At 45.3% G+C, this 27,496-nt stretch overlaps 2 protein-coding genes across 44 annotated transcripts in view; one reads left to right on the top strand and one right to left on the bottom strand.

The window, feature by feature from the left end:
- The first annotated feature begins 167 nt into the window (after window positions 1–167).
- On the top strand, window positions 168–25,863 carry MPPE1 (metallophosphoesterase 1). 39 transcript variants are annotated; one of them, XM_047437746.1, is made up of 14 exons: window positions 168–284; window positions 2,176–2,282; window positions 2,532–2,747; window positions 6,127–6,218; window positions 10,865–10,959; window positions 11,129–11,501; window positions 14,909–15,017; window positions 18,995–19,098; window positions 19,742–19,816; window positions 21,460–21,568; window positions 21,707–21,772; window positions 21,864–21,986; window positions 22,669–22,809; window positions 23,858–25,863. In XM_047437746.1, the coding sequence occupies exons 6-14, from the start codon at window positions 11,221–11,223 to the stop codon at window positions 24,038–24,040; spliced, it is 1,191 nt and encodes a 396-aa protein (XP_047293702.1). In that variant the 5' UTR covers window positions 168–284; window positions 2,176–2,282; window positions 2,532–2,747; window positions 6,127–6,218; window positions 10,865–10,959; window positions 11,129–11,220; the 3' UTR covers window positions 24,041–25,863. The 39 variants fall into 39 exon arrangements, 36 of the variants coding, with proteins under 36 accessions (XP_047293702.1, XP_047293701.1, XP_016881412.1 ...); XM_047437745.1 differs by having other exon boundaries at window positions 21,704–21,772; XM_017025923.3 differs by lacking the exon at window positions 6,127–6,218 and adding an exon at window positions 5,629–5,900.
- The window catches only part of GNAL (G protein subunit alpha L), a 196,422-nt gene continuing 191,725 nt past the window's right edge, over window positions 22,800–27,496 (bottom strand). For all 5 annotated transcript variants that reach the window (NM_182978.4, NM_001261443.2, NM_001142339.3 and 2 more), the window contains one exon: window positions 22,800–27,496. In NM_182978.4, the coding sequence (NP_892023.1) occupies window positions 27,350–27,496 (147 nt within the window). In that variant the 3' untranslated portion in view covers window positions 22,800–27,349.

Here is a 27,496-nt window from a genome sequence, read left to right as displayed (position 1 = left end):
CCGCTTCCGCAAACCGGCCGTGGGACTCCGGCGCCGGGCGGACGAAGCGGCTCCGGGAAGACTCGGTCTTCCCCGCCCGCCTGAGGTCGCCGGGGCGGGGCTTCAGTGACAGGCCCGCGCGCTACCGCGGAAACAGGAAGTTGGCTGGGTGCGCGCCGGCTCCGGCTGCAGTTCCCGGGTCCCTCGGCCACCGAAGCCACCCTGCCCTGGTGAAAGGGCTCCCGCACCGCCCGGTGCTCCCCATCTGCCTGGCGTTGTGCGCAGAGCTGGAAAGCATGGCTGTTGTATGTATTCTTGCGCCCGTGTGACAACATTTAAACTTCTAAAAACGGAACCTCCTTCCGTGTTAGGATTGCAAGTTAACCTAGGAAAAACAGCATTCTGCAAATTATTTGCTGGAAAATCTCGGTGACTTAAGGCCCATGTATTACTTTGCAGGGGTCTCTCACTCTAGTTTGCTGGTGTAGATTTTTTAAAAAATCCATCTTATCAAAAAATACCGTTTAAGGTGGAAAATTTCAAATGCAAGTCGCAGTTGATGAGATTGCAATTAATATATTTAAGATAGTGAATTAGAGAAAAACTACAGGTCAGTGCATATTAAGTATTTTTTTCATATTTTGGGGGGATTAGATTTTTAACGATAACTTTGAAGTTAAAAATTAAAAGATAGGCTGGGTGCCGTTGCTTAGGCCTGTAATTCCAGCACTCTGGGACGCTGAAGTGGGAGGATGGCTTGATCCCAGAGATGCGAGACCAGCCTGGGCAACATAGCAAGTCCCCCGCCCCCACCATAACAACAAAAGTACCAAAAAAAAAAAAAAAAAAAGCCAGGTGTAGTGGCACGCACCTGAAGTCCCTGCTACTCGAGAAGTTGTGGGGGAAAGGATCGCTTCAGCGCAGGAGTTTGGGGCTGCAGCGAGCTGTGACGCAGCCTGCGGTTGACAAAAAGTCAAAACTCTATAAAATATTTGAAGGGATTAATTCTGAGCCAAATATGAGTGACCATGGCTGGTGACACAGCCATTTGGAGACCCTGAGAACGCGTACGCAAGGTGGTCGGGGCCCAGTGTGGTTTTATGCATTTTAGGGGAGCCATGAGTCATCAGTCAAATACATGTAAGATTAAGATGTACATTGGTTCGGTCCATAAAGGTATGACAGCTGAGGAGGTGGGTGGGTCGGGGGTTTCCGGGTTATAGGTAGATTGAAAATTTTCTGATTGGCATTTGGTTGAAAGATTTATTATCAATGGAAAGGAATGTTTGGGTTACAATAAGAGGCTGTGGAGACTGAAGTTTTATCATGCAGATGAAGCCTCCAGGTAAGTTAAGTGTCCAGCATGTTAAATGCTGGTCTGCTTTTCCTGAATTCTAAAAGGGAGGAGGATGAAATGTGTCAAGTTCCACCCCCACTTCCCATCATGGCCTAAACAAGTTTTGCTTAAAACAACCTAAAACAAGGTTAACTCTGGAATGCCCTTGGTGGGGTCCATGCAGATGGTTGAGGGGTCTTAGGATTTCATTTTTGATTTACAATGGGCGGTGGAGTGAGACCCTATCTCTAAAAATAAATAAATAAATAAATACAAATTGAAAAGTTCAAAGATAAATTTTTTTTTTTTTTTTTTGAGACGGAGTTTCGCTCTTGTTGCCCAGGCTGGAGTGCAATGGCGCGATCTCGGCTCACTACAACCTCCGCCTCCCGCATTCAAGCGATTCTCCTGCCTCAGCCTCCCGAGTAGCTGGGATTACAGGCATGTGCCACTACCCTGGCTGATTTTGTATTTTTAGTAGAGACGGGGTTTCTCCATGTTGGTCAGGCTGGTCTTGAACTCCCGACCTCAGGTGATCACCCACCTCGGCCTCTCAAAGTGCTGGGATTACAGGCATGAGCCACTGCGCCCAGCCTAAAGATAAAATATTTGGCTCCCAATTATGGCTTGCAGTGATTATTCACACATGTTGGGCAGAAATGTTTTATATAATTTATATATAAATACAGGTATTTTATATTGTAATTCAAGATAGGTATTCTTGGCCACTAACCCAATGTCTTGTTTCTTTAGCTTCTCAGCTTCTTTTTTACTTTCAAAGTTGGTCAGGTTTCCTGTTAATAGTTAACTAAATGAAAGCTCACTCACTGACAAAACACACATTTTTGGTTTCATTTCAGATAAATGAATTCTGATTTTGGGGAGCAGATGCCAACTTAGAGCCTCGTACCAATCTCTCTGTCTTTAAAAGATGAGGTGACTTGGTGATTTTCCTGGAAAATTATAGGTAATATATAATCTAGCTTCCATATTTTACGGATATGTCTGGAGGTACCAGAGAGGTGCATCTCTGCCTTTCCATCCTAGGCCAGCCTGAACTGTCTTGTGGAAGCTGTACACTGTTCCTGCTGGGTTATCGTTTGATGATCTTAATAAGACTGATAAATTGAACTTGGGAGTGAAAACAGTAACACTTTAAGAAATTTTGAATTTTAAGGCTGAGGACTAGGCTCTGATTTTTTTTCTATCCTCACAGAAGCACTGAGGTGGACACTGCGGGTTGTGAGGTTCAGGAGGGGTAAGTGGCTGGCACAAGGTCACAGAGCAGCGCTGCCATTTGGCTACTTTCCAATTCAGCATAGCTGCCCTCTCTGCTGGTGGTATTCACAGCATGCAAGATAAAATACTCACCAAGGAACAAGTGGCTAACTCCTCACAGAGCTCTCACGGTTTCCTCTTTCCTGACAAAAAGGTAGGGCTCACCGGGGTGGGGGTGTCTGCAGAGCTCCCAGGTGCTGGTGGTCAGCAGGTTTCCTTCAGCTGAGTCAGAAAATGGGGAGGCAGAAAATGAGGAGGCTGGGGTAAGGTTTGGCCCAGCAAGTGAGTGAAACAAGTCAATTTATACCCTTGGGAAGCAAGCCGTCCGGTAGGAGTGAAGCCTCATTACCTAATGCTGGTGCCATTTCTGGGGAGAGAAGGAATCTCTTCCCCCACCCTATCAGGCCTACAAGTTATTCTGTCTTCATTTCAGGTAGGAAAAGAGGGCATGTTTTGGCCATAACATTGAAGACAACCTTGGGAATGCTAATTCAATGAGTCTTTGGTAGAGGAAGAAAAGGAATTTCCCAAGATTTGAGCAAAAGGTGTTTTTTGTTGTTTTTTTTTGTTTTGTTTTGTTTTGTTTTGAGACAGTCTCCCTCTGTCGCCCAGACTGGAGTGCAGTGGCCCAATCTCTGCTCATTGCAAGCTCTGCCTCCCAGGTTCAACTGATTTTCCTGCCTCAGCCTCCTGAGTAGCTGGGATTACAGGTGTGCACTACTACACTAGGCTAATTTTTGTATTTTTAGTAGAGACGGGGTTTTGCCATGTTGGCCAGGATGGTCTTGAACTCCTGGCCTCAAGTGATCTCCCTGCCTCCACCTCCCAAAGTGCTGGGATTACAGGGTGTGAGCCACCTGCCCAGAAGGTGTTCTGTTTAAGGATCTGCTGTCAAAAGTTTTCTAAATAGGTTTTTGTTCTGTTATCTTTTTTTTTCTTCTTTTTTTTTGAGATGGAGTCTCGCTCTGTCGCCTAGGCTGGAGTGCTATGGTGAAATCTCGGCTCACTGCAACCTCCGCCTCCTGGGTTCAAGTGATTCTTGTGCCTCAACCTCCCAAGTAGCTGAGATTACACGCTCACTCAACCACACCCGGCTAATTTTTGTATTAAATATATTTAGTAGAGATGGGGTTTCACCATGTTGGCTAGGCTGGTCTTGAACTCCTGGCCTCAAATGGTCCACCTGCCTTTGTCTCCCAAAGTGCTGGGATTACAGGCATGAGCCACCATGCCCCGCACAGCCACTCTTATCTTTTAAAAAATGATCATGTTGGGCTGGGCGCAGTGGCTCATGTCTGTAATCCCAGTATTTTGGGAGGCCGAGGCCAGTGGATCACTTGAGCCTAGGAGTTTGCCACCAGCCTAAGCGACATGGTGAAACCCTGTCTCTACAAAAAATGCAAAAATTGGTGGGGCGTGGTGGCACACACTCACCTGTAATCCCAGCTGCTCCAGAGGCTGAAGTGGGAGGATAGCTTGAGTCCAGGAGGCGGAGGTTGCACTGAGCTGGGATCACACTACTGTACTCCAGCGTGGGTGACAGGGCGAGACCTTGTCTCAAAAAAAAATAAATAAATAAATAAAAAAGATTATGTTATACCAGATAGCTGCTTCACATGGTTATTAGGGTCTTCTCAGGAAAATATGTAACAGTGCCAGCCAGCTTGCTTGCTCTCTTTCTCTGTCCTGTTTGCTCCCCCATCCCCTTCTGCTCTTCTCTCCTTTTCTACTGTCCTCCTTCCTTCTTTCCTTCCAAGTCTTCCTCTGGTTGAATGGCTCTGTGTAGGATATTTTAAATTCATTTTTGGAAAAAAGAATGTTAGGGGTAGAAGGTATTTGATTTACAAGTGGCAAATCCATACAGATCTGCAGCAACCTCAATTCTTGCCTGCTCAGAAAAAAATAATTCCACTGAGGGGCATAAGGCAGAAAAAGAGACTGAGGCAAGTTTCTGAGCAGGAGTGAAAGTTATTAAAAAGCTTTAGAGCAGGAAAGAAAGAAAAGTACATTTGGAAGAGACCCAAGAGGGCAATGTGAAGGTCAAGTGCAGTGTTTTTTGTTTTTGTTTTTGTTTTTTTGTTTTTTTGAGACGGAGTCTCGCTCTGTCCCCCAGGCTGGAGTGCAATGGCGCGATCTCGGTTCACTGCAAGCTCCGCCTCCTGGGTTCACGCCATTCTCCTGCCTCAGCCTCCTGAGTAGCTGGGACTATAGGCACCTGCAACCACGCCCGGCTAATTTTTTGTATTTTTAGTAGAGATGGGGTTTCACTGTGTTAGCCAGGATGGTCTCGATCTCCTAACCTTGTGATCCGCCCGCCTCGGCCTCCCAAAGTGCTGGGATTACAGGCGTGAGCCACCGTGCCCAGCCAAGTGCAGTGTTTAACCGTAATCCTAGGACTTTATAGGCTGACCCACTTCTGGCGTCTTGCACCCCTCCCTTCTCCATGATTCATCCCTTAGGGTGGGCTGCCTGCATGCACAGTGCCCTTCTTAAGCTTGGGAGGTGAGCATGAGCAGTGTGTTTAGGAAGTTGTACGCATGCCCATCTGTGGCTTTCTTTTTCCTGTGGAGTGCCCCCAGAAGGTCATACTCTGCCATTTTGTCTCCTGATGTGTATGCCCAGGAAGTTGCCCCTCTCTGGCATCTGCATTTAATTAACACTTTAATGTGGCAGCTGTGGACCCTCAGGAGATTGTCTCTCCTTGGCGCTGGCTGCTAAATGATCGTTTTTAGAGAGGCAATATGTTAACTGTTGAATGGGCACCTGGTGATCACCTGACATTCCTGGTAGGTGGGAAGAGCCCTCACCTGCCCCGCTCATGCCTGCCTATCTGTAACAAGAACACAGAAGTTTGAGGGAAGCGCCAGAACTCCCCTCTAACCCGGTTTGTTTGCAGTAAGGTCGCTTATCTGCAAGGAGTAAGAGGCCATGCTGAGTGAGCTCAGTGGGGAGTTGGGGCAGGGAGAGCCCAGGTTGCCTGGAAGTGCAAACCCACAGGCTGTCTCTATGTCCTCTGTCCTGCTCTCTTCATCCAGGGAAGCTGGAGGACTGCAGTTTTGCATCCTATCCTGCCCTGAGCCTCACTTTGGGCTGTCAGCCAGCCTTGTCTCCAGCCTGCTCACCACTCACTGATGCTTTTTGCGCCTCTTAGTCATAACTGCTCAAACAAGGCTCACTCTGATGAAGAGAAGGGGGTGTAGAAGAGGAATTATCAAGGTGTCATTCTGGTATTTCATCTTGGGAAACCAGAAACCTACCAAACAGCAAGGGTTTGCATACTGGAAGACTCCTCAGCCTGCCCCAGAAGGTCAGCATTCCTTCCCTCTCAACTAGTTCTGTACAGCTGGAGGAAACATAAGGTGTTAGAAAGTTTCAGCTATGGTTTTGGGTTTAGCTTTTAGGATTTTAGGAGATTCTAGGCCTTTTGAAAGAAAAATGAGATAGTAAGATCGAATGGCTGCCTTTGACATATTTGATTTAATCACAACAAAGGAAATTGCCTGGCGTTAAGGAACCTGTTATTTATCCCTCAGAGGCTCTCCAGCAGAGAACCCAGGCCCTTCACCATACTGGTGCATGGTTCCTGCCACTTGTGCAGTCCATTCCGAAGTTTCTTACAGATGAGGTGGGTGACTGCAAACAGGCACTGCTGCTTCTCCTCTATGTCAGAGTAAGCACAGGCAGCACAGGGTGGCTGCACATCCTGAGTTGTCTGGGACAGTCCTGGTTTACACCATTGCCCTGTTTTAATTTTTATTAGTGATATTTTTCACTCAAAGCTGTCCCCAGTTGGAAGATAAAGGTATGTTGTGACTGCGATTATGCGGCATGTGTGGTTTGCCTTAGAGAAAAGAGAGGTGACAAAAGTTCTAAGTGAAGAAGATAAAGTACAGCTTGACCAGCTGATAAAGATGTTGTGGGGTTTTGGAGGAGAATTTCAGCAAGAGCAGTTGACTCCAGATGATATGCAAGGCTGCTTTTGACCTCTCTGTCTGAAAGGACATAGTTAAAATCCAGTATTTGTTTGCCGTTCCCCCTTTATTTATTTATTTTGAGATGGAGTCTCACTCTGTTGCCCAGGGTGGAGTGCAGTGGCACGATCTCGGCTCACTGCAACCTCCACCTCCTGGATTCAAGCGATTCTCCTGCCTCAGCCTCCCTAGTAGCTGGGATTACAGGCATGCACCACCACACCTGCCTAATTTTTGTATTTAGTGGAGATGAGGTTTCACCACATTGGCCAGGTTGGTCTTGAACTCCTGACCTCAGGTGATCCACCTGCCTTGGCCTCCCAAAGTGCTGGGATTACGGCTGTGAGCCACTGTGCCAGGCCAGCTGTTCCCTTTTAAATTAAGTACTTAGTCTGGGCACAGTGGCTCACGCCTGTAATCCTAGTACTTTGGGAGGCCGAGGCGGGTGGATCACCTGAGGCCAGGAGTTCGATACCAGTCTGGCCAATGTGGTGAAACTCCATCTCTACTAATAATATGAAAATTAACTGGGTGTGGTGGTACACATCTGTAGTCTCAGCTACTTGGGAGGCTCAGGTAGGAGGATTGCTTGAGCCCAGGAGGTGGAGGTTGTAGTGAGCTGAGAGCACACCACTGCACTCCAGCCTGGGTGATGGGAGAGAAACTCTGTCTCAAAAAAATAAAAATAAATAAATAAATAAATCAAGAGTTAATATAGGTAATGCCATTCTAATGAAACAGAGGAATGACAGTCCCCAATGGAAGGGCCGTCCATTTCACCATTGCCTACCCTTTCATCTTCTGAAAAGCCAGAAATAGTAATGAATACTTAATAGTACCACATACCCATTGCCAATGCTCCATTAGAATACTTATGAGAAGATTTCTTCATTTATCAGTTTCTGAAGGTATTGCCAATTTTTCCGTTAGGTTTTAAACTTTTGATAATGGCTCAAAGTACATTTTCACACCTATTTATTTTTCTTTTTCTCTTACTTTTTTTTTTTTTTTAATGAGACGGAGTCTTGCTCTGTCGCCCAGGCTGGAGTGCAGTGGCGCAATCTCGGCTCACTGCAGGCTTTGCCTCCTGGGTTCACGCCATTCTCCTGCCTCATCCTCCCGAGTAGCTGGGACTACAGGCGTCTGCCACCACGCCTGGCTAATTTTTTGTATTTTTAGTAGAGATGGGGTTTCACCGTGTTAGCCAGGATGGTCTCGATCTCCTGACCTCGTGATCTGCCCACCTTGGCCTCCCAAAGTGCTGGGATTACAGGTGTGAGCCACTGTGCCTGGCTTATTTTTCTTTAGGTAAGGTTTAAAGGTTTTCCACATCTTAATGGTTGCTTATAGACACCAGTGTAAAACAAGCTAGGGACTCTTATAGGGAATGGGGGTTATTTTATTTTATTTTTTTGAGATGGAGTTTTGCTCTTGTTACCCAGTCTGGAGTGCAATGGCATGATCTCAGCTCACTGCAACCTCCAGGTCCTGGGTTTAAGTGATTCTTCTGCCTCAGCCTCCCGCGTAGATGGGACTACAGACGCCCACCACCACGCCCAGCTAATTTTTTTTTTGAGACGGAGTCTTTCTCTGTCACCGAGGCTGCAGTGCAATGGCGTGATCTTGGCCCACTGCAACCTCCGCCTCCCAGGTTCAAGAGATTCTCTTGCCCTCAGCCTCCTGAGTAGCTAGGATTACAGGTGCACACCATCACCCTGGCTAATTTTTGTACTTTTAGTAGAGATGGGGTTTTGCCAGGTTGGCCAGGCTAGTCTCGAACTCCTGACCTCAGGTGATCCGCCCACCTTGGCCTCCCAAAGTGCTGGATTACAGGCTTGAGCCACTGTGCCCAGCCTAATTTTTGTATTTTTAGTAGAGACAGGGTTTCACCATGTGGGCCAGGCTGGTCTCGAACTCCTGATGTCAGGTGATCCACCCGCCTCGGCCTCCCAAACTGCTGGGATTACAGGGGTGAGCCACTGCACCCAGCCAGGAATGGGGGTTATTCTTAATTTCCCTATGCAAATGTAGAGTTCTGAGGATGCATTTCACAGAGGTGATTTTAGACCCTGGGGAAATGAGGTGGTTCTTGACTCCATGCCTACGTGTGACATGAAGTTCCTAGATTCATGTTAGAAAATCATCTTCCTAGAAAGGGACTTTATTTTTTTATTGGTTCAGTTAGGGTCTCTGGTCAGTGTCTCCCAAAGCTCCCACCCCGTAAGACTTCTGGGGCTTCTCTGACATCTGAACTCCCTATACCCTCCCTGGGAAGGTCACCGCCCTTCTCAGATGCTCATCTTGAGCGCAGTTGAAGAACCTGGAAGTAGAATGCCACCATTTATAGCCTATCTCAGGGCAGCCTTTTACCAACTTTTCTCTTCAGAGGTCTCCAAAATAGATGCTTTCTTTACAGGATGCAAAGCTCATCCAAGATTTGGGATGAATCCATAAAAATTTTGAAGGTTCCCTTACAGAAGCCACTATACATAAATAGCTTATAAAAGAAGGCCATCCAGAGTTTTAAGGCACATTTGCAGGGGGAAACCCATTTTTGTGAAAACATATAATCTGGTTGCAGTACTCAATATTCATATTCACAGATGGTGGCTCTGTTGCAATCACCCACAGGTTCTTCCTGCCCACTGCACAGACAAAACCATTCACTGAGACTATGGTACTGCAGTAAATAAGTAGTTTGGGCTGGGCTGGGCACGGTGGCTCATGCCTGTAATCCTAGCACTTTGGGAAGCTGAGGCGGGTGAATCACTTGAGCTCAGGAGTTCAAGACTAGCCTGGGCAGCATGGCAACACCCCATCTCTACTAAAAATACAAAAAAACAAAATTAGCTGGGCGTGGTGGCACACACCTGTAATCCCAGCTACTCGGGAGGCTGAGGCATGAGAATCACTTGAACCTGGGAGGCAGAGGTTGCAGTGAGCTGACATTGTGCCATTGCACTCCAGCCTGGGTGACAGAGTGAGATTCTGTCTCAGAAAAAAAAAAAAAGTTTAATTAATGAAGGCTGGCCACTGAGAGATGGAATTATTACTCAAATCAGTTTCTCTGAATCTCAGAAGTTAGGGTTTTTATGGACAATTTTGTGGGCAGGGAGCTGGGGAATAGGAGTTGTTGATTGGTTGGGAATGAAATCATAGGGATGTGGAAAACAGTCCTTGTGTGCTGAGTCCACTTCTGGGTGGGGTCATAGGATCAGTTGAGCCATGAAATATGGGTCCCAGCAGGGTCAGTCAGGTAGGGTAAATCAGTTGCCCGAAAGTCTGAAAAATATGTCAAAAGACCAATCTTAGGATCTACAATAGTGATGTTATTTATAGGAGAAATTGAAGGAAGTCACAAATCTTTGTTACCTCTGGCCTCATGACTCCTGAGCATTTAGGGATTATAGAAACTACATTCAGCAGAATTCAAGCCCCTCCCCTAATCCTAATCTCGATACCTTTCATTAGTTTTCAAAGGTGGTTTCAGCCTCAGAACAGGGAGTAGACTATTATCATCATCCTTGCTTCAAAGTTAAACTATAAACTGGCCTGGCAAAGTGGCTCACGCCTGTAATCCCAGCACTTTGGGAGGTTGAGGCAGGTGGTTCATTTGAGGTCAGGAGTTTGAGACTAGCCTGGCCAACATGGCGAAAAACCGTCTCTGCTAAAAAAAATACAAAAATTAGCTGGACGTGGTGACGAGTGCCTGCAATCCCAGCTACTTGGGAGGCCGAGGCATGAGAATCACTTGAACCCAGGAGGCGGAGGTTGCAGTGAGCCCAGATCACACCACTGCACTCCAGCCTGGGTGACAGGGGAGACCCCATTTCAAAAACAAAACAAAACAAAACAAAACAAACAAACAAAAACCTATAAACCAAATTTCTCCCAAAGTTAGCTTGGCCTATATCCAGGAATGACCAAGGACATCTTGGCAGTCAGAAACAAGATGGAGTCAACTATGTCAGATTTCTGTTACTGTTATAATTTTGCAAAGGTGGTTTCACTGTCAGATCCTGGCCTCTGGGTCCAATGTGGAATGAATTCCTTGGATCTTTGAAGCACATTGTCCATGAATATTCACTTATTTTGTGGAAAAGCAGAGTAGAAAAGTGATGAATTAACACCAAAAGCAACACATTACAGGCGGCTTGTGACCTGTTGATTTTTAAGGTCAAGGAGGGGTGGTGGGGAATCCTGGGAGTCAAAATTACACTTAAATAATACTGAATTTTCCCATTATGTCTCCTACCTTGACACACATCATTCTCATGGATTCCCATTTGATGATTTCTAGAATATTAATGAAACTTTATCATCTTGGTGAGAAAAGCATTCTAATAGCTTTATTCTGACATACGGAGGTATGGAGAGCTTGAAGGAGTCAGAGAGGTCAGTTGTTTTCCTTATTAGTAATCTGGCATATTATTATTGTAAAAGTATAAGACGATTAATTTGGAAATGTAGATAGGATTATGTAACTCATTAGTTCTTAATAGAGGGAGGTCGTGATACCTGTATTATTAGGGAACATAACTGAATTCTTTTCCTTTTCCCGTAGGTGCCCAGCTAAGACCTGAATGCCATCACCCTCCCCAGGGCTCTGCAGTTTTCTCGTGGTGAACCCTTGATGGATTTGTTGTTGCTTGAGAAATGGCGATGATCGAATTGGGGTTTGGAAGACAGAATTTTCATCCATTAAAGAGGAAGAGTTCATTGCTGTTGAAACTCATAGCTGTTGTCTTTGCTGTGCTTCTATTTTGTGAATTTTTAATCTATTACTTAGCGATCTTTCAGTGTAATTGGCCTGAAGTGAAAACCACAGCCTCTGATGGTGAACAGACCACACGTGAGCCTGTGCTCAAAGCCATGTTTTTGGCTGACACCCATTTGCTTGGGGAATTCCTAGGCCACTGGCTGGACAAATTACGAAGGTAAGAGGTAAAATCAGGAATCTTTCTAAAATTCTGTAGGCAAAACGGTATAGCCCTCTCCTCATAGGCAAGGCTTATGGCTTTAGGTTACTCTTAGTTATTTTCCTCTCAAAGGAGGACATTTAGGGACATTTGACTTTTCCTTGAATTTACCATTTACTGAGGATATATACAGGGCCCCATAATTTGGGAGTCAGATCTGGGCCACATCGCTTTGTGACTTTGGACAAGTTGTTAGGGCCCCTCTGAGCCCCTGCCTCCTTGTTTGTAACTGGATTAAGACAAGAAACATCACAAGATGTGCCACGCAATGACAACAAGATGCTACACAATGCCTGGTGCCTGGGACTGGTCCCCTGGGCAGGGGAGGACACAGATGTGGGTTGGTGGTCCCATCTCACCTTCATTGCTGTGTAACTTTGAGCCTATTGGGTTTCAGCCTCCTCTAGGCAGCAGAGGAGCAGAGCAGATTTGTGGCTGTCACCCTGGGGAAGGATCAGGTCCTATCTTTCCAACTCACACCTGCCCCTGCATGGTCCATTGTTTTTTTCACCAGGAAGCTTTTTAAACAAATTATTTTTAGGCCAGGTGCACTGGCTCACGCCTGTAATCCCAGCACTTTGGGAGGCCAAGGCAGGTGGATCACCTGAGGTCAGGAGTTCAAGACCAGCCTGGCCAACATGGTGCAACTCCATCTCTACTAAAAATAGAAAAATTAGCTGAGCATGATGGCGGGCGCCTGTAATCTCAGCTACTCCGGAGGCAGAGGCAGGAGAATCGCTTAAACCTGGGAGGCAGAGGTTGCAGTGAGCTGAGATTGCACCACTGCACTCCAGCCTGGGCAACAGAGCAAGATTCCATCTCAAAAAAAAAAAAAAAAAAAAAAAAGAATAAAGAATAAGAATAATGAAAGAGCAGCTATACCTTTTTACTAAGAGTTTTAACCAAAGGAGGCATGAGCTCAAGAAGGGCCGGTGGGGGGCCTGCAGTGTCTTGGTCTTACAAATTGATCCTGATTGATGTCTGGTCTCGCCAAGTAGCCTTCTGTACCTTCTTCCTGCTGCTGTTTCTAGATTTTTACTTCCCATGGTGAATAACATTAAATCAAGAGAGACTGAGAAGCTGGGTGCAGTGCTTCACGCCTGTAATCCCAGCACTTTAGGAGGTGGAGGTGAAGAACTGCTTGAGGCCAGGAATTTGAGACCAGCCTGGGCAACGTGGCAAGACCTCATTTCTACAAAAAAACAATAAACAAAAACCAAAAATAGCTAATTTTTGCTCTTTATGCCCGCTTGTAGTCCTAGTGACTCAGCAGGCTGAGGCAGGAGGATCGCTTGAGCTACTTTGAGCACCAGAGTTTGAGCCTCCAGTGAGCTATGACCATGGCACTGCAGTCCAGCCTGGGCGACAGAGCAAGAGCCTGTCTCTAAAAAAAAAAAAGTAAAATAAAATAAGAAAAACGGAGAAATGTATTTTGAGAGAGATCTTGGGTAAAAAGCCTTTCAGGGGTGATGTGTACCATTCAGTTCACTTGGGATCTAAAAATCTTCCTCTGACCAGAAATTACATTGACTGATTAAAATGGGGTCTAGCTCTGTTGCCCAGGCTGGAGGGCAGTAGTAGGATCATAGCTCACTGCAGTCTCCCAAGTAGCTAGGACAACAGGCTTGTGCCACTACGCCCAGCTAATTTTTACTTTTTTGTAGAGATGGAGTTTTGCTGTGTTGCCCATGCTGGTTTTGAACTCCTGGCCTCAAGTGATCCTCCCTCCTTGGCCTCCCAAAGCATTGAAATTACAGGTGTGAGTCACTGCACCCAGCCTACTTTCCCCTATTTATATATCCCAGGACATAGCATTTCCCTTTTGTAGAGGAGGAGCAGCCAGGAAAATGCCTTAAAAAGGAGGAAAGGTTTGGATTCCTTAGAAAAATGACATAGGCTGGATTTGGTTAGGTTGAAGACGGGGAGGGCTGAGCAAACACTGACATTTTTGAGCACCTGCTGTGTGCCTGTGCCATGCTTTACAAATGCTGTCTTATTTAACCCTGTAACTATCCTGTGCAAGTAGGGTTTAAAATCCCCATTTACCGGCCGGCCGGGTGTGGTGGCTCATGCCTGTAATCCCAGCACTTTTGGGAGGCTGAGGCGGGTGGATCACCAGAGGTCAGGAGTTCGAGACCAGCCTGACCAACATGGAGAAACCCCGTCTCTACTAAATATACAAAATTAGCTGGGTGTGGTGGCACATGCCTGTAATCCCAGCTACTTGGGAGGCTGAGGCGGAAGAATCATTTGAAACGGGGAGGCAGAGGTCGCATTGAGCCGAGATCACACCATTGTACTCCAGCCTGGGCAACAAGAGCGAAACTGCATCTCAAAAAATAAATAAATAAAATAAAATAAAATCGCCATTTACCAATGAAGACACTGGGCATCAGAATAGGCAATTTTTTCAAAGCCTCACAGCTTTTCAATGGATTGAGCTGGGATGTTAAGCCATCATCTGTCAGATTGCAGATCCCAGGCTGTTTTTTTTTTTTTTTTTTTTTTTTGAGATGGAGTCTCGCTCTGTCACCCAGGCTGGAGTGAGTGCAGTGTCATGATCTCAGCTTACTGCAACCTCCGCCTCCTGGGTTCAAGCAATTCTCCTGCCTCAGCCTCCCAAGTAGCTGGTACCACAGGCGCATGCCACCATGCATGGCTGGTTTTTTGTATTTTTAGTAGAGACAGGGTTTCATGATATTGGCCAGGCTGCTCTTGAACTCCTAACTTTATGATCTGCCCACCTCGGCCTCCCAAAGTGCTGGGATTACAGGCATGAGCCACCATACCCAGCCTCCAGGCTCTTTTCATTTGCTTGTCTTACCTCTGGGAGGATTACTCGCATGTCTGAAATCTCCAGGATTTCCTGTTTTGATATTGGTTCCTGTTTTGATATTAGCTAGCCTATTTCTCTTGTCATCTCCCCTCCAACTTGGAAGCAAAGAAGGAAGTTGAAGTCCCTTTAATAAGAAGCTAAAATTAAGCTAGATACAATAATCTCCTCTGTGTGGTACAAAATCAGTCTACATTGAGCATCTTTGGAAGCTGCATTAGGCTCTCTCAGATCCCAGTTGCTGTCTTGACCGAGTGATGGCTGCAGGGTGCAGAGTGGGGCCTGTTCCTGCACACCACAGTGTCTGGGGTGTGTGGAAGGGATGGCCGGACTCTTCTCTGATACTTAATTCCCCACCTTTAATCAGATATGGACTCTTTGGCCCTTCAAGCCAGGGATGGGAATGCAAGAGTGGGGCTCTGGAAGAAGGAGAGTGGAACCATTTAGTTTGCTGTTTAAATGGTGCATAATACAGAAGTAGCCTCCACCTAGGAAAGAGACTGATGCCTTACTTTTTCCTATTGGCATCAAGGGAATGGCAGATGGAGAGAGCGTTCCAGACAGCTCTGTGGTTGCTGCAGCCGGAAGTCGTCTTCATCCTGGGGGATATCTTTGATGAAGGGAAGTGGAGCACCCCTGAGGTAGGACTCTGTGTTCCAGGTGCCCTCATCCTGCTGTGAGGTCCAGCACAAGTATCCCAGAGAATCCACGAATCAGTGTCAGCTTGAGCTGGAGATTTTATGGAAGTTGTACTTACTACTGATATTAAAAATGCGTAGGCTATTTGGAAGATGATTAGAATTCATAGGCTATCTAAGATTATTAGAACAACTCAATCTTGAGTTAGGTTGGCTAATTGTAAACATTTGTCTATGTAGGAAATATGTCGATTAGCCAGATATCATTTAGTTGGAATACACTGTTTTGTGAACCTCTTGGGAAAGGGAGAAACGGGCAAGATAGATGTTATTTCAGTTGTCACCGAAATTGCAAAATACATATTGAAATGTACATTTAATTTCACACTCTTATTGAACCATGACATTATGAGAATCGTGCTGCAAAAGAGACTTGCTATTCTCCTCTGATTTTCTTTTTTCTGAATGAGAGATGCAGAAGGAGCGCTGGGGACTTGATGTGAGGATCCTCTGCTTTCAGAGGGGGCTGAGACCCCTGCCTGGGTATTGGGGTAATATAAGACTTTCCACAAACCAAAGAGAAAAGCTGTTCTCACCTTAGTTGTCACAGTGTTTTGCTTATTATATCCTTGGAACAAAACGAATGAAGACATGAGCTGTTCTTGCTGCTTAAAAATGTTCAGTCACTAATGGTTTTTGGAAAATCTTCAATTTGGGGTATAGTATAAAAAACTTCATCACATGCCCGTAGTACCAGCACTTTGGAAGGCCAAGGCAGGAGGATTTTTTTTTTTTTTTTGAGATGGAGTTTCACTCGTTGCCCAGGCTGGAGTGCAATGGCGCAATCTCAGCTCACTGCAACCTCTGCCTCCCAGGTTCAAGCGATTGTCCTGCCTCAGCCTCCTGTGTGCTAGGATTACAGGCATTTCCTGTGTCACCACGCCCGGCTAATTTTGTATTTTTAGTAGGGACAGGGTTTCTCCATGTTGGTCAGGCTGGTCTCAAACTCCTGACCTCAGGTGATCTGCCCACCTCGGCCTCCCAATGTGCTGGGATTACGGGCATGAGCCACCGTGCCTGCCCTTTCTTTTTCTTTTTCTTTTTTTTTTTTTTTTCTTTTTGGTGCTATGGGGGATGGAGTCTCACTCTGTCACCCAGGCTGCAGTGCAGTGGTGTGATTTTGGCTCACTGCAACCTCCGCCTTCTGGGTTCAAGCGATTCTCCCTCCTCAACCTCTCGAGTAGCTGAGATTACAGGCACACACCACCATGCCCTGATAATTTTTTGTATTTTAGTAGAGATGGGGTTTCACTGTGTTGCCCAGGCTGGTCTCGAACTCCTGAGCTCAGGCAATCTGCCCACCTTGGCCTCCCAAAGTGCTGGGATTATAGGCGTGAGCCGCTGCGCCAGACCTAGTCCAAGGCAGGAGGATCGTTTGAGCCCAGGAATTCAAAACCAGCCTGGGCAACTTAGTGCTGTTTCTACAAAAAATACAAAAATCAGCCAGGCGTGATGGTGCACGCCGCTACTCAGGAGGCTGAAGTGGGAGGATCGCTTGAGCCTGGGAGGTCAAGGCCACAGTCAGCTGTGCACCACTGCATTCCATCCTGGGTGACAGAGTGAGACGCTGTCTCAAAAAATCAAGATAAAAATCAAGGAAGACAAACAACCCAAACAAAAACAAAACAAAACAAAAAAAACCCCACAACAAAAATCCAAAAAACCTTACTGGCATTTCCTAGGACAATTCAATAGCTGCACAAGAGAAGTCTTGTTTCAGAGTTGATAGGAACCAGTTTACAGAGTTGCAATGTTTGTTATTATCTAGGCTATAATTAAATGTGAGATAGTGGAAATGTTATATGTAAAAACAACTAGTTACAAAATGAGGTTGGATAGATATGTTGCTTTTCCAAATTAAGGGCAACATTTTATGTTTTTCTATGTCTGTTATTCTGATTTTATGTTACTCTAACTTTATATTTTTTTATTTTTTTCAGCTGGTGTCTTGCTCTGTCACCAAGTCTGGAGTGCAGTGGCGTGATCTCAGCTTACTACAACCTCTGCCTCCCTGGTTCAAGTGATTCTCCTGCCTCAGCCTCCTCGAGTAGTTGGGATTACAGGCACCCGCCACCACACCCAGCTAATTTTTGTATTTTTAGTAGAGACAGGTTTCATCATGTTGGCCAGGCTGGTCTCAAACTCCTGACTTCAAGTGATCCGCCTGCTTCAGCCTCCCAAAGTGCTGGGATTATAGGCGTGAGGCACCGCACCTAGCCATCTAACTTTAAATGTTATTTGTTAAAGTGGAATCTTTGTAAATGTATTCAAGGACTCTATCCAGCATATTTCCTTAAGTTTTGCCAGATTTACAACATTTAGGATAAAGTTGGTTACTATCTAGAATAGAGGTTTTTTTTGTTTTTTTTCCCTACCCTAGGGTGTTTGTACAATTGATATTTTTAGCTTTATAAAATAAGAACTACACTAACATAACTCTGAAGTTTTAATAGTTAAAGCAAGTATCAGAATAATTTTGAAAAATTTTTTACAATAAGTATTTTTTGTCTTTCTTTCTCCCACATCTCATTAGTTCTGGTTTCCACAGTTGTAGCCATAGGGGAATGCCACCTTTAAAGATGTTCTCATCCTTGTCTTAGTTGAGACACATGAAGAACTTACTGGACATTTTGTCAGAGCCTGTTCTTATAGCATGCCCAGATCTGAAGCATTTCTCCACCAGGGTCTATGAATGGTCTTCAGGGGATCTTGAAATAATAGGTGTATGAACCAAATATTTTTTGGGATTGCCAGTTATTGTTTTAAGATGGGAGAGGATACCATTTAAAAATTTGGCATTAGGCTGAGCTTGGTGGCTTATGCCTGTAATCCTAGCACTTTGGGAGGCTGAGGCAGGTGGATCACTTGAGGTGAGGAGTTCGAGACCAGCCTGGCCAACATGGCGAAACCCTGTGTCTACTAAAAATACAAAAATTAGCTGGGCATGGTGGTACACGCCTGTAATCCCAGCTACTCAGGTGACTGAGGCATAAGAATCACTTGAACACTGGAGGCAGAGGTTCCAGTGAGCCAAGATCATGGCCACTGCACTCCATCCTGGGTGACATAGTGAGACCCTGTCTCAAAAAAACAACAAAATAAAACAAAAACTTGGCATCAAATTAAATAACAGTAAGTATTAATTGTAATTTTAAAAAAGACATATTATGGCCAAGTGTGGTGGCTCACGCCTGTAATCCCAGCACTTTGGGAGGCCGAGGCGGGCGGATCATGAGGTCAGGAGATCGCGACCATCCTGGCTAACACAGTGAAACCCCGTCTCTACTAAAAATACAAAAAATTAGTCGGGCGTGGTGGCGGGCGCCTGTAGTTCCAGCTACTCAGGAGGCTGAGGCAGGAGAATGGCGTGAACCCCGGAGGCAGAGCTTGCAGTGAGCCGAGATCGTGCCACTGCACTCCAGCCTGGGCAACAGAGCGAGACTCCATCTCAAAAAAAAAAAAAGTTCTACATCATCTTTATGGGCATCTGATTTGAACAGGGGAATTCATTCACTTCTCACATCAAAATAGGGATCATTGGCTGGGTGCGTTGGCTCATACCTGTAATCCCAGCACTTTGGGAGGCTGAGGCGGGCGGATCACGAGGTCAGGAGATCGAGACAATCCTGGCTAACATGGTGAAACCCTGTCTCTACTAAAAATACACACACACAAAATAAGTTAGCCGGGCATGGTGGCATGTGCCTGTAATCCCAGCTACTCCAGAGGCTGAGGCAGGAGAATCGCTTGAATGTGGGAGATGGAGGTTGCAGTGAGCAGAGATCGCACCACTGCACTTCAGCCTGGAGACAGAGCCAGACTCGTCTCAAAAAAAAGCAAAACAAAATAGGGATCCTGTTTTTTTAGCCACAGGGCAGAGATGGTTCTCTGGCTCTCAGCAGTGATTCTTTTTCCCTCAGGCCTGGGCGGATGATGTGGAGCGGTTTCAGAAAATGTTCAGACACCCAAGTCATGTACAGCTGAAGGTAGTTGCTGGAAACCATGACATTGGCTTCCATTATGAGTAAGTAGTTCACAAAAGCCCTGCACCCTGAGAGCTCTTGTTAACTGTAATTCTAAATCTGTTGGAATTCAGGTGAAAGCCCTATTTGTGCTGTCTTGAAATTTGTTTTCTTCAAAAGATGTGAGCTCTGGGATATTAAACTCTTTAAGGGGTTTTTACTTGGTGCATAGTACACCCTCAACAAATATCTGTGGAATGAATGAATTGTATGTGCCCTTGGGAAACATCTAACTTGAAATGTACATTTAATGGCCAATTATTGTCTTTGGGAACGAAAAACCAAGATCATTTAGACTTTAATAGCTAACATTTATATAGTGCTCTAGTGCTTATAATGTGCCATCTGTTTCAAGTACTTTACTTCCATATATTAACACATTAATCTTTACCATGGTCCTGTTGTTTTACCTACGGTACCAATGTGGAATCTGAGGCCCTGGGCAGCTGAGTAACTTGCCCCAGGCTTCATAGTAAGTAGTGGAACTAAAATTTGAGCTTTGCTATCCTGGGGCCAGGTAGAGCCCTTAACTAATAATGCTAGTCTGAAACTCAAGTGTTGAAAGTTATTTTGTGTTCATGATGACTCTAGGAGTTTCTAAAATGGCTTGTCCTGAAAAATGTTTCTTCTCACAATTGAATATAGGATGAACACATACAAAGTAGAACGCTTTGAGAAAGTGTTCAGCTCTGAAAGACTGTTTTCTTGGAAAGGCATTAAGTGAGTATTATTTGTAAATTCTTCCAAGACCTTTAGTCCTTGGAAACTTCATTTTTTAAAGGTGCCTGCCATACTGGGATCTATCATCTACCTGCGTTCTGTTTAGCCTGGTTTATGATCTTTAAACAGCAGTGCCTTAGGCTGTCCTTGCTGGTGCTCACCATGGGAGCCGATAGATGGGAAACCTCAAACCACCCTGGTTTTCCTTGACAACCCCATAATGAATCGGTCAGTTTATGACTCTGCCCAGCCACTGTGGGAATGATAGTCTTTCTGTCTGCACTGTCTCTGGGTAGCACAAATTTCATCAGCCCACTTTGTAAAAGAGTCTTTATTTGATCAAAATATACTAATTTCACGTTACAAAGACTGTTCTCGTAGTTATGGTGTCATAACTACTATGGGATTTGGTGGCAAGTGTGTCACAGTTCCTCTGTAGCTCTGTGCCACCCATCTCCATTGGCCTGGGCTTTTAGACCAGAGCATCCTGACCCTTAGCCTGACCATGAGCAGCTCCCGCTCTGCGAGGCCACCTCAGTGCCCATCTCTACATCCTTTCTGGGCTGTGTATGTGGCTGCAGCACAGTGGACAGGACTCTATACTCTATACTGATTATAGACGCGGTGGAGAAAACAGGTGGGAGTGGAAGCCTTTTCTCTTTTAATCTTGTCCTTCCTGTGGGTGCCCAGCACTCTGTTGACCTTGGACACAGCAGGTCTGCAGGTGAGGTCATTTCTGTCCAGTGGCTTCACCACCAATGCTCACCTTTCCCTCTGCCAGGAAGGCAGAGTCTCTAGTAGGTGGCTTTCTCTGCTGACTCATAATAGAAGCATGATACAGTTTGAATTATTTCCCTCTAAGTGTGTGTTTAAGACACTTCAAACAGCTTATCATACTGCTGATCACTTGATAACTCCACTCCTTATCTCTAAAACGAGTTAAATTTCAAGCAGTCTTTACTGACAGGTACTTTCGTCATTCCAAGATGGTATGCATGTAGGAGATAAAACCGTATTTAGTGGGAGTCTTTAAAAAAATGTGGCTGCTGAGTCTAACCACAATGGACTTTGTTATTACCCTAGTTTGGGATTATCCATACCCAGTTAGCTCTAACCGGCACCCTACCCTCTGCCTTACTTGCTGTGTGTGTCTGTATGTCACTGATGCACTCTGTGGTTCCCTCTACCTGTTAGTCACAATATCTGACACGTACTGAGTACTTTCTAGTGGCAGGCTGTGTTCTAAACACCTGCCATGTCATTTCATTGAATCCTCACAACCAGCTGATGGGGTGGGCATAGGGTTCTTAGCCCTGCATGGAAGAGGCGCTGTAACAGATGAGGTTCTGGTTGGAGGATGAGCTTAGACATAGTCTAACTGCAGAGCTTCTGTAATCTGGGATTTCTCACAAGTTTAGGGTCAAAAACCCTTCGATCGTGTCTTAGACAGAACTCCCAGTAATGCTATTTTTGTTAATATTGACTCATATTTAAAAATACACCAAATTATTCTGGGTGGGATTGAAAGCTGCTCTGGGCTTGTTTCTTTGCACTGGATGCTTAGCTTTCTTTTCATGGGAACAGTAGGGAAAAGAAAGCACTGATACCCCCAGCGGCCTCACCTGCGTTTCCCTCCGCTTCAGCTTTGTGATGGTCAACAGCGTGGCGCTGAACGGGGATGGCTGTGGCATCTGCTCTGAAACAGAAGCAGAGCTCATTGAAGTTTCTCACAGACTGAACTGCTCCCGAGAGGTAGGAGAGCATCTGAATGCCACAGGTGCCTTCTGTCCCGTGTTGCTCCGCTTCGGTTGCTCACTCAGCCCCCTAGCGCTTCTTGCCCTTTGATGAGGGTCAGGTGTGCGGATTAATGGCCTGACTTGTACCCAGCAGGCACGTGGCTCCAGCCGGTGTGGACCTGGGCCTCTGCTGCCCACGTCTGCCCCTGTCCTCCTGCAGGTGAGCTGGGGGAGGAAAGGGCTCATGGCAGACAGCAGGCAGCCTGTGGTTTCACGATAGCCGCCTGAACTCCTCTCTCCACCCCGGACAGCATTATCCTCTGTATCGGAGAAGTGATGCTAACTGTTCTGGGGAAGACGCTGCTCCTGCAGAGGAAAGGGACATCCCATTTAAGGAGAACTATGACGTGCTTTCACGGGAGGCATCACAAAAGGTTTGCCAGGGTGTCGTGATGCTAATTCATGTCACAGTGTGACTCTCATCACCTTGCATGTCAACAAGCAGAGTGCCCAGGCTAGAGCAGGTGTTTGCTGAAACGTTCATGACTTAGTTATCACCTGGGGGGACAGGGGTGGAGGCCTGGCTTTCACAGTATCTCAGATTTTCATTTAATCGCTTTTTTTTTTTCCAGTAAACCTACTTCTGTTTCCTACCCTCAAGTCAGTAATAGTCTCAGCTATTCTTTGTATTCAGAGTTTTTCACCAACTTAAATGTATTTAGAAATGTGAATGGAACTGAAAAGTCAATTTTTTAGGGACTTAATTAAAATTAAAATGCATTTTCTTATATAGATTTATATAATACATATTACATTATACATAATATATAAATATAAGAAATATTTATAAGATAAATGTATAAAATATTTATAAAGATAAAATACCGTAAAAAGTATATAAAATCTGGGATGAGAACAAAGGGCTGACCTTACCTTTGATTTAGTGTAAATAAACCAAAGGATTTTTAAGGAAAAAAATAAACCAGTCCTTCAAAATAAGGATTTAGTATGTAATTTAAGGAAAGAAGCGATGGCCAGCGGCCGTCTGCTGAGCGGTGAGAGCCTGGTTGAGGATGAGCTAACAGCCTGCTTTGCTGTCTTCTCGGCCACTGTCAGCTGCTGTGGTGGCTCCAGCCGCGCCTGGTTCTCAGTGGCCACACGCACAGCGCCTGCGAGGTGCACCACGGGGGCCGAGTCCCCGAGCTCAGCGTCCCATCTTTCAGTTGGAGGAACAGAAACAACCCCAGTTTCATCATGGTAACGTGAAAGTTTATTTTTGTCTGAAAGCTTTCATAAGTATTTAAATCAACACAGTAATCAACTATTTAATTGCTGCAATCGGTCAAAATTTACAAAAGCCACACACAAATTTCTCTCCTTCTACACGTAGCTCCATACACTGCCCCTTGCCAAACACCCTTCCGGGAACCAATCAGCATGACATTCCTGGGCAGTTAATGTGAGAAGCGAGGGCAGGGCACCGTCCAGGTGGACTTTATCCTTCAGGGAGGGCCGTATCCTCTCCTCTTACACTCTGTGTGTGTTTAATTTTCTAAAGAAACAACCATTTATTCATTAGCTATACTCAGCCATCTTCTCTTATTTTCTAAACATGCCCATTTGACCTGGCAGAGAACGCTGCAGCTTTTGCAGGTTGATAAAAGATGTTTCACTTAATGACCACTGGGCGTTTTAACTCCTTTCAGCCATGGGCTCCTGCATCCAGCTCATGATGCTGGTACGACAGGTTCTTTTACTTCATAAAAAGGTGGAGGAAACCCTAACATTTTCAAATTCAAAGTAAATGAAAACATTTGCCACTGTTGTTCCACATAAAAGTATCTGCAAAGAAAAGCCCATGGAGACGACCTGGACACATGTATTTCTAGGGAACAGATGCTTAGTTGAGCATCAAGGGGCAGGAAGACACCTTTCCCTCCTTGTTCCTCGCTGACCGATGACCCTGGAACTCCACGGTGCCTCTCTGAATCTCTGTTATGGATCCCCCACTATATTTGATGGGAACCCAGTGAGCCAGGGGCCAGTTTTGACAGGTCAGTGTCCCAGACATTTTCCACTCAGGCACACTTGGGCCTTACTTGTCTCTCCTGCTGGAGCCTGGGCTGGTCGGGGGTGAGCTGTGCAGGGAGAAGGCTGGGCCCCCTTGGTCTCAGGTGAGGAGGGCCCGTTCCCTGCCTCACCTGAGGGGGACCTGAGAAGGCAGTCTTCCCTCTGCTGTTTCTAAGACTGCGGTGTTCAACGTGTGCCTGGTGCTCTCAGCATAACTTTCCCTTCTCCTTTCCAGGGTAGCATCACGCCCACAGACTACACCCTCTCCAAGTGCTACCTCCCACGTGAGGATGTGGTTTTGATCATCTACTGTGGAGTGGTGGGCTTCCTTGTGGTCCTCACACTCACTCACTTTGGGCTTCTAGCCTCACCTTTTCTTTCTGGTTTGAACTTGCTCGGAAAGCGTAAGACAAGATGAAGAGCAGGCGCCATTATAAATATCAAAGCCCAAGAAATGGAACTTTGGGCAGAGATCATGTTAGAATCAAGTGGATGATGAGACCAATTACAGGCCGTCTCTCTGCACAGCACAGAAATTCTCAATCACTGAAATGAGTAACTGCAAAATAAATAGTTGATTGTACTGTTCTCATGCTATAAAAGTGGACAGGTACTCTACAACAAATCTGTTTTCTCATTTTTATCAAATATATGTATCATCAAAGGTTGCATCTGTACAGTATGTAAATGCTATTAATGTCGTCACTCACATGCACGACAGTCCTTGTTCCCCCAGGAAGGGCCTGGTGGCCCCAGCACACACTTGGGATTATGTGTATACATAAATAAATATTGGGCTGTTTCCCTCTTCCTGTGAAGTGGTTCTCAAATTCCTATGTACTGTAAAGCTGTACCCTTAAAAGTACAGATGTGGCCGGGCACAGTGGCTCACACCTGTAATCCCAGCACTTTGGGAGGCTGAGGCGGGTGGATCACTTGAGGTCAGGAGTTCAAGACCAGCCTGGCCAACATGGTGAAACCTCGTCTCCGCTAGAAATACAAAAATTAGCCAAGCATGGTAGCAAGTGCCTATAATACCAGCTGAGGCTGAGGCAGGAGAATCCCTTGAGCCCGGGAGGCGGAGGTTGCAGTGAGCCAAGATCATGCCACTGCACTCCAGCCTGGGCAACAGAGTGAGACTCCGTCTCAAAAAATATATTTAAAAAAAAAAAAGTACAGATGTGATGTGCAGAACATATTGTTTTCGTAGATTTTTATACTTGATCAATTAATGGAATCAGATTTTTAGATAAGTGTAATTTTCTCTATAGGAGACCACGTTGCTACATCTGTTAATGCCTGTCAGTGATCAAAAGAAACTTAAAAAGTGGAATGGGATATGGCTTTTGGTACCTGAAAATAAATGCTTTAATAATTGTAAGCCAGATAAAAGTTATTCTTTTTGTTTTTTTTCTTAACAGTCTGGCTGTTGTTTGAATTAAACTCTTAAACAGGATGTTTAGTTAGAGGGTAATTGTTGAGTAATGATGCATACAACAGCATACTTCCCTTTCTTGCTGGGGGTGCAGCTTTTCAGTTTTCTTGTTTTACTTTGACAGTGCAAGGGGAACTGAAAATAATTTCCATTGTATTATTTATCTTAGTTCAGCTGAGGGCTTTATGAGACAGTGGATGGGGAGGCAGTAAGACGGTGATGAGATAAAATGTGTGTGTTGCACTGACTGTCTATAAAGTTATCCTTTCTTCATGAAAAAGTAGCATTTAAATCTGGATGAGTTTATAAAGGATTACAAAATGCTGATTTATAGAGTAAACTTTAAAATATTAAAGACTAAAGACTAAAAGAAGAGTAATAATGAAGTAATGTAGGCTGTCACTTCTCTAGATTTGTATTGTTGAAAATTTAACTTTGGACATCTTTATAGATTATTATTTTAGACCTACAAAAACTACCCTCAACTCTGTGGCTACAGCTAGAATATGAAGCATCATTGCTACACCAGTTCTTACTTTCTAGATATTGTTGGTGTGTCATAATGTTTGAGGCTGTATTTGTAAGTCTTGCAAGTGTGAGAAAGAGCCGTATCTTTTGACTTTATACTTCAGATTAAGGTTTTGTAATGTTTCTTCTTCAAAAGGCAAGTGAAGCTGTCATCCTCATTCTCCTAGGCCAGACACAAACATTGACACGTCAAGGTTTTTTTTTTTTTTTTTTTTGGCCTGAGTCTCACTTTGATGTCCAGGCTGGAGTGCGATGGCACGACCTCGGCTCACTGCAATCTCCACCTCCCAGGTTCAAGAGATTCTCCTGCCTCAGCCTCTCGAGTAGCTGAGATTACAGGTGCCCGCCACCACGCCTGGCTAATTTTTGTATTTTTGGTAGAGACAGGGTTTCGCCATGTTAGCCAGGATGGTCTTGATCTCCTGGCCTCGTGATCCGCCTGCCTCGGCCTCCCAAAGTGCTGGGATTACAGGCGTGAGCCACCGCGCCTGGCCACATTTTGTTTTTCTCTTACTGTTTGCTTACTTGTATGACGTAGCCTGTGTCCAAAGTTTTGACTAAGGGAATGATGGACCTGTTCCCACTTGGGGAACTTGAAGAAGTGTTTCATTAGCAGACTAATGAGGAAACATATTGTCTAGAGAGAGAGAAAAAAATCCCTGGTTCCCTGAAAAGATTAGATTGCAATTTGTACCCCTGAATTGAGTTCAGGTTTTTACAGCTCAGAGAAGTAACAGCAGGTGGTTGCAACAGCTTGTGATGTTGGTACATTGTCGATAGAATGTGGATGATTAACGTGTATAACTTACAATTTTTTAAATCAGGGAGTATTTTATAAAGTGCCAACCTGATAAAATATCCTAAATTCTACAGCTACCATTCATTCCTTTTTTCAGAGTAAGCAGCAGGTAATGTTGACATTAAGCTCTTCAGCACAATACAAACACATTTCATGTACAGGTATAGATAGCCATGGTGAAGGCACAAAGATCTACAAGGATTTTTCTTTAGTAGTTATACAAAAGAATATTACATTTTGTGGTCTGTACAGTGTAATAAACCAGCAATAGGGACAACAACAAAGAGAATCTAAGAAAGAAGACTATGCCTAAGTATAGGGAAAGTTTAGAGAATCATTTTTAGACAGGACACATTTTGCAGTAGTGAATGTGGTAGGTTTTCTGCCTAAGAGGCTCAAAGTAGCTCTAATTCAAATGCCTGAGGCCAGCAGCGACTCTGAATGTGACTGTAAAAGGGTTTCTGGTCACTCTGTCGCTTGGGGTCGACTCCAAGTCTTGGGCTAAGGCCAATGGGAAGGGACCATCTCTCGTCAGCCTGCAGCTTCATAAAGGGAGAATCAGAGACGGCCGTGGCTCAGGGCACTGCACGAACGCTCTTGCAGTCACGGTTGATAACGTGGAAAAAAAAACCAACTGTGTTTTCTCCCCATCTACCAAGTTCTCCTCGATGAATCAATAAAGGGAGAATGAATAATGGGGCTCCCACCCGGAGAGATTCTGCTGCAGTGTCGGCAATGAGAGTCGGTGGTTTGGGGGTGGGATGCTGCGGGAGGCCGTATTCAATGACAACAGAAGCTACACAACCAAACCTGAGGGGACAGAGGTAGCCAGAGGCTTGGTGGTCGACACAGAACGGGACAGACGGCAGCGAGATGGAACTAGAGACTCTGCCTCCTACCATGGCATGGGGCTGGCAGTCAGGCAGTCCGGGGCGCCGCTCCGTCGCAGGGTGGCGGCAGCATCCTCACAAGAGCTCATACTGCTTGAGGTGCATCCGCTGGATGATGTCGCGGCAGTCGTTGAACACCCTGCGGATGTTCTCTGTGTCCACGGCGCAGGTGAAGTGCGGGTAGCAGTAATGTTTGCCGTCACCGGTGGCCGTGCTGATCCT

The sequence above is a fragment of the Homo sapiens genome, chromosome 18 (genome assembly GCF_000001405.40).
Source record: "Homo sapiens chromosome 18, GRCh38.p14 Primary Assembly".
In the NCBI taxonomy this organism is placed as follows: Eukaryota; Metazoa; Chordata; class Mammalia; order Primates; family Hominidae; genus Homo; species Homo sapiens.
This window is presented reverse-complemented; position numbering and strand designations above follow the sequence as displayed.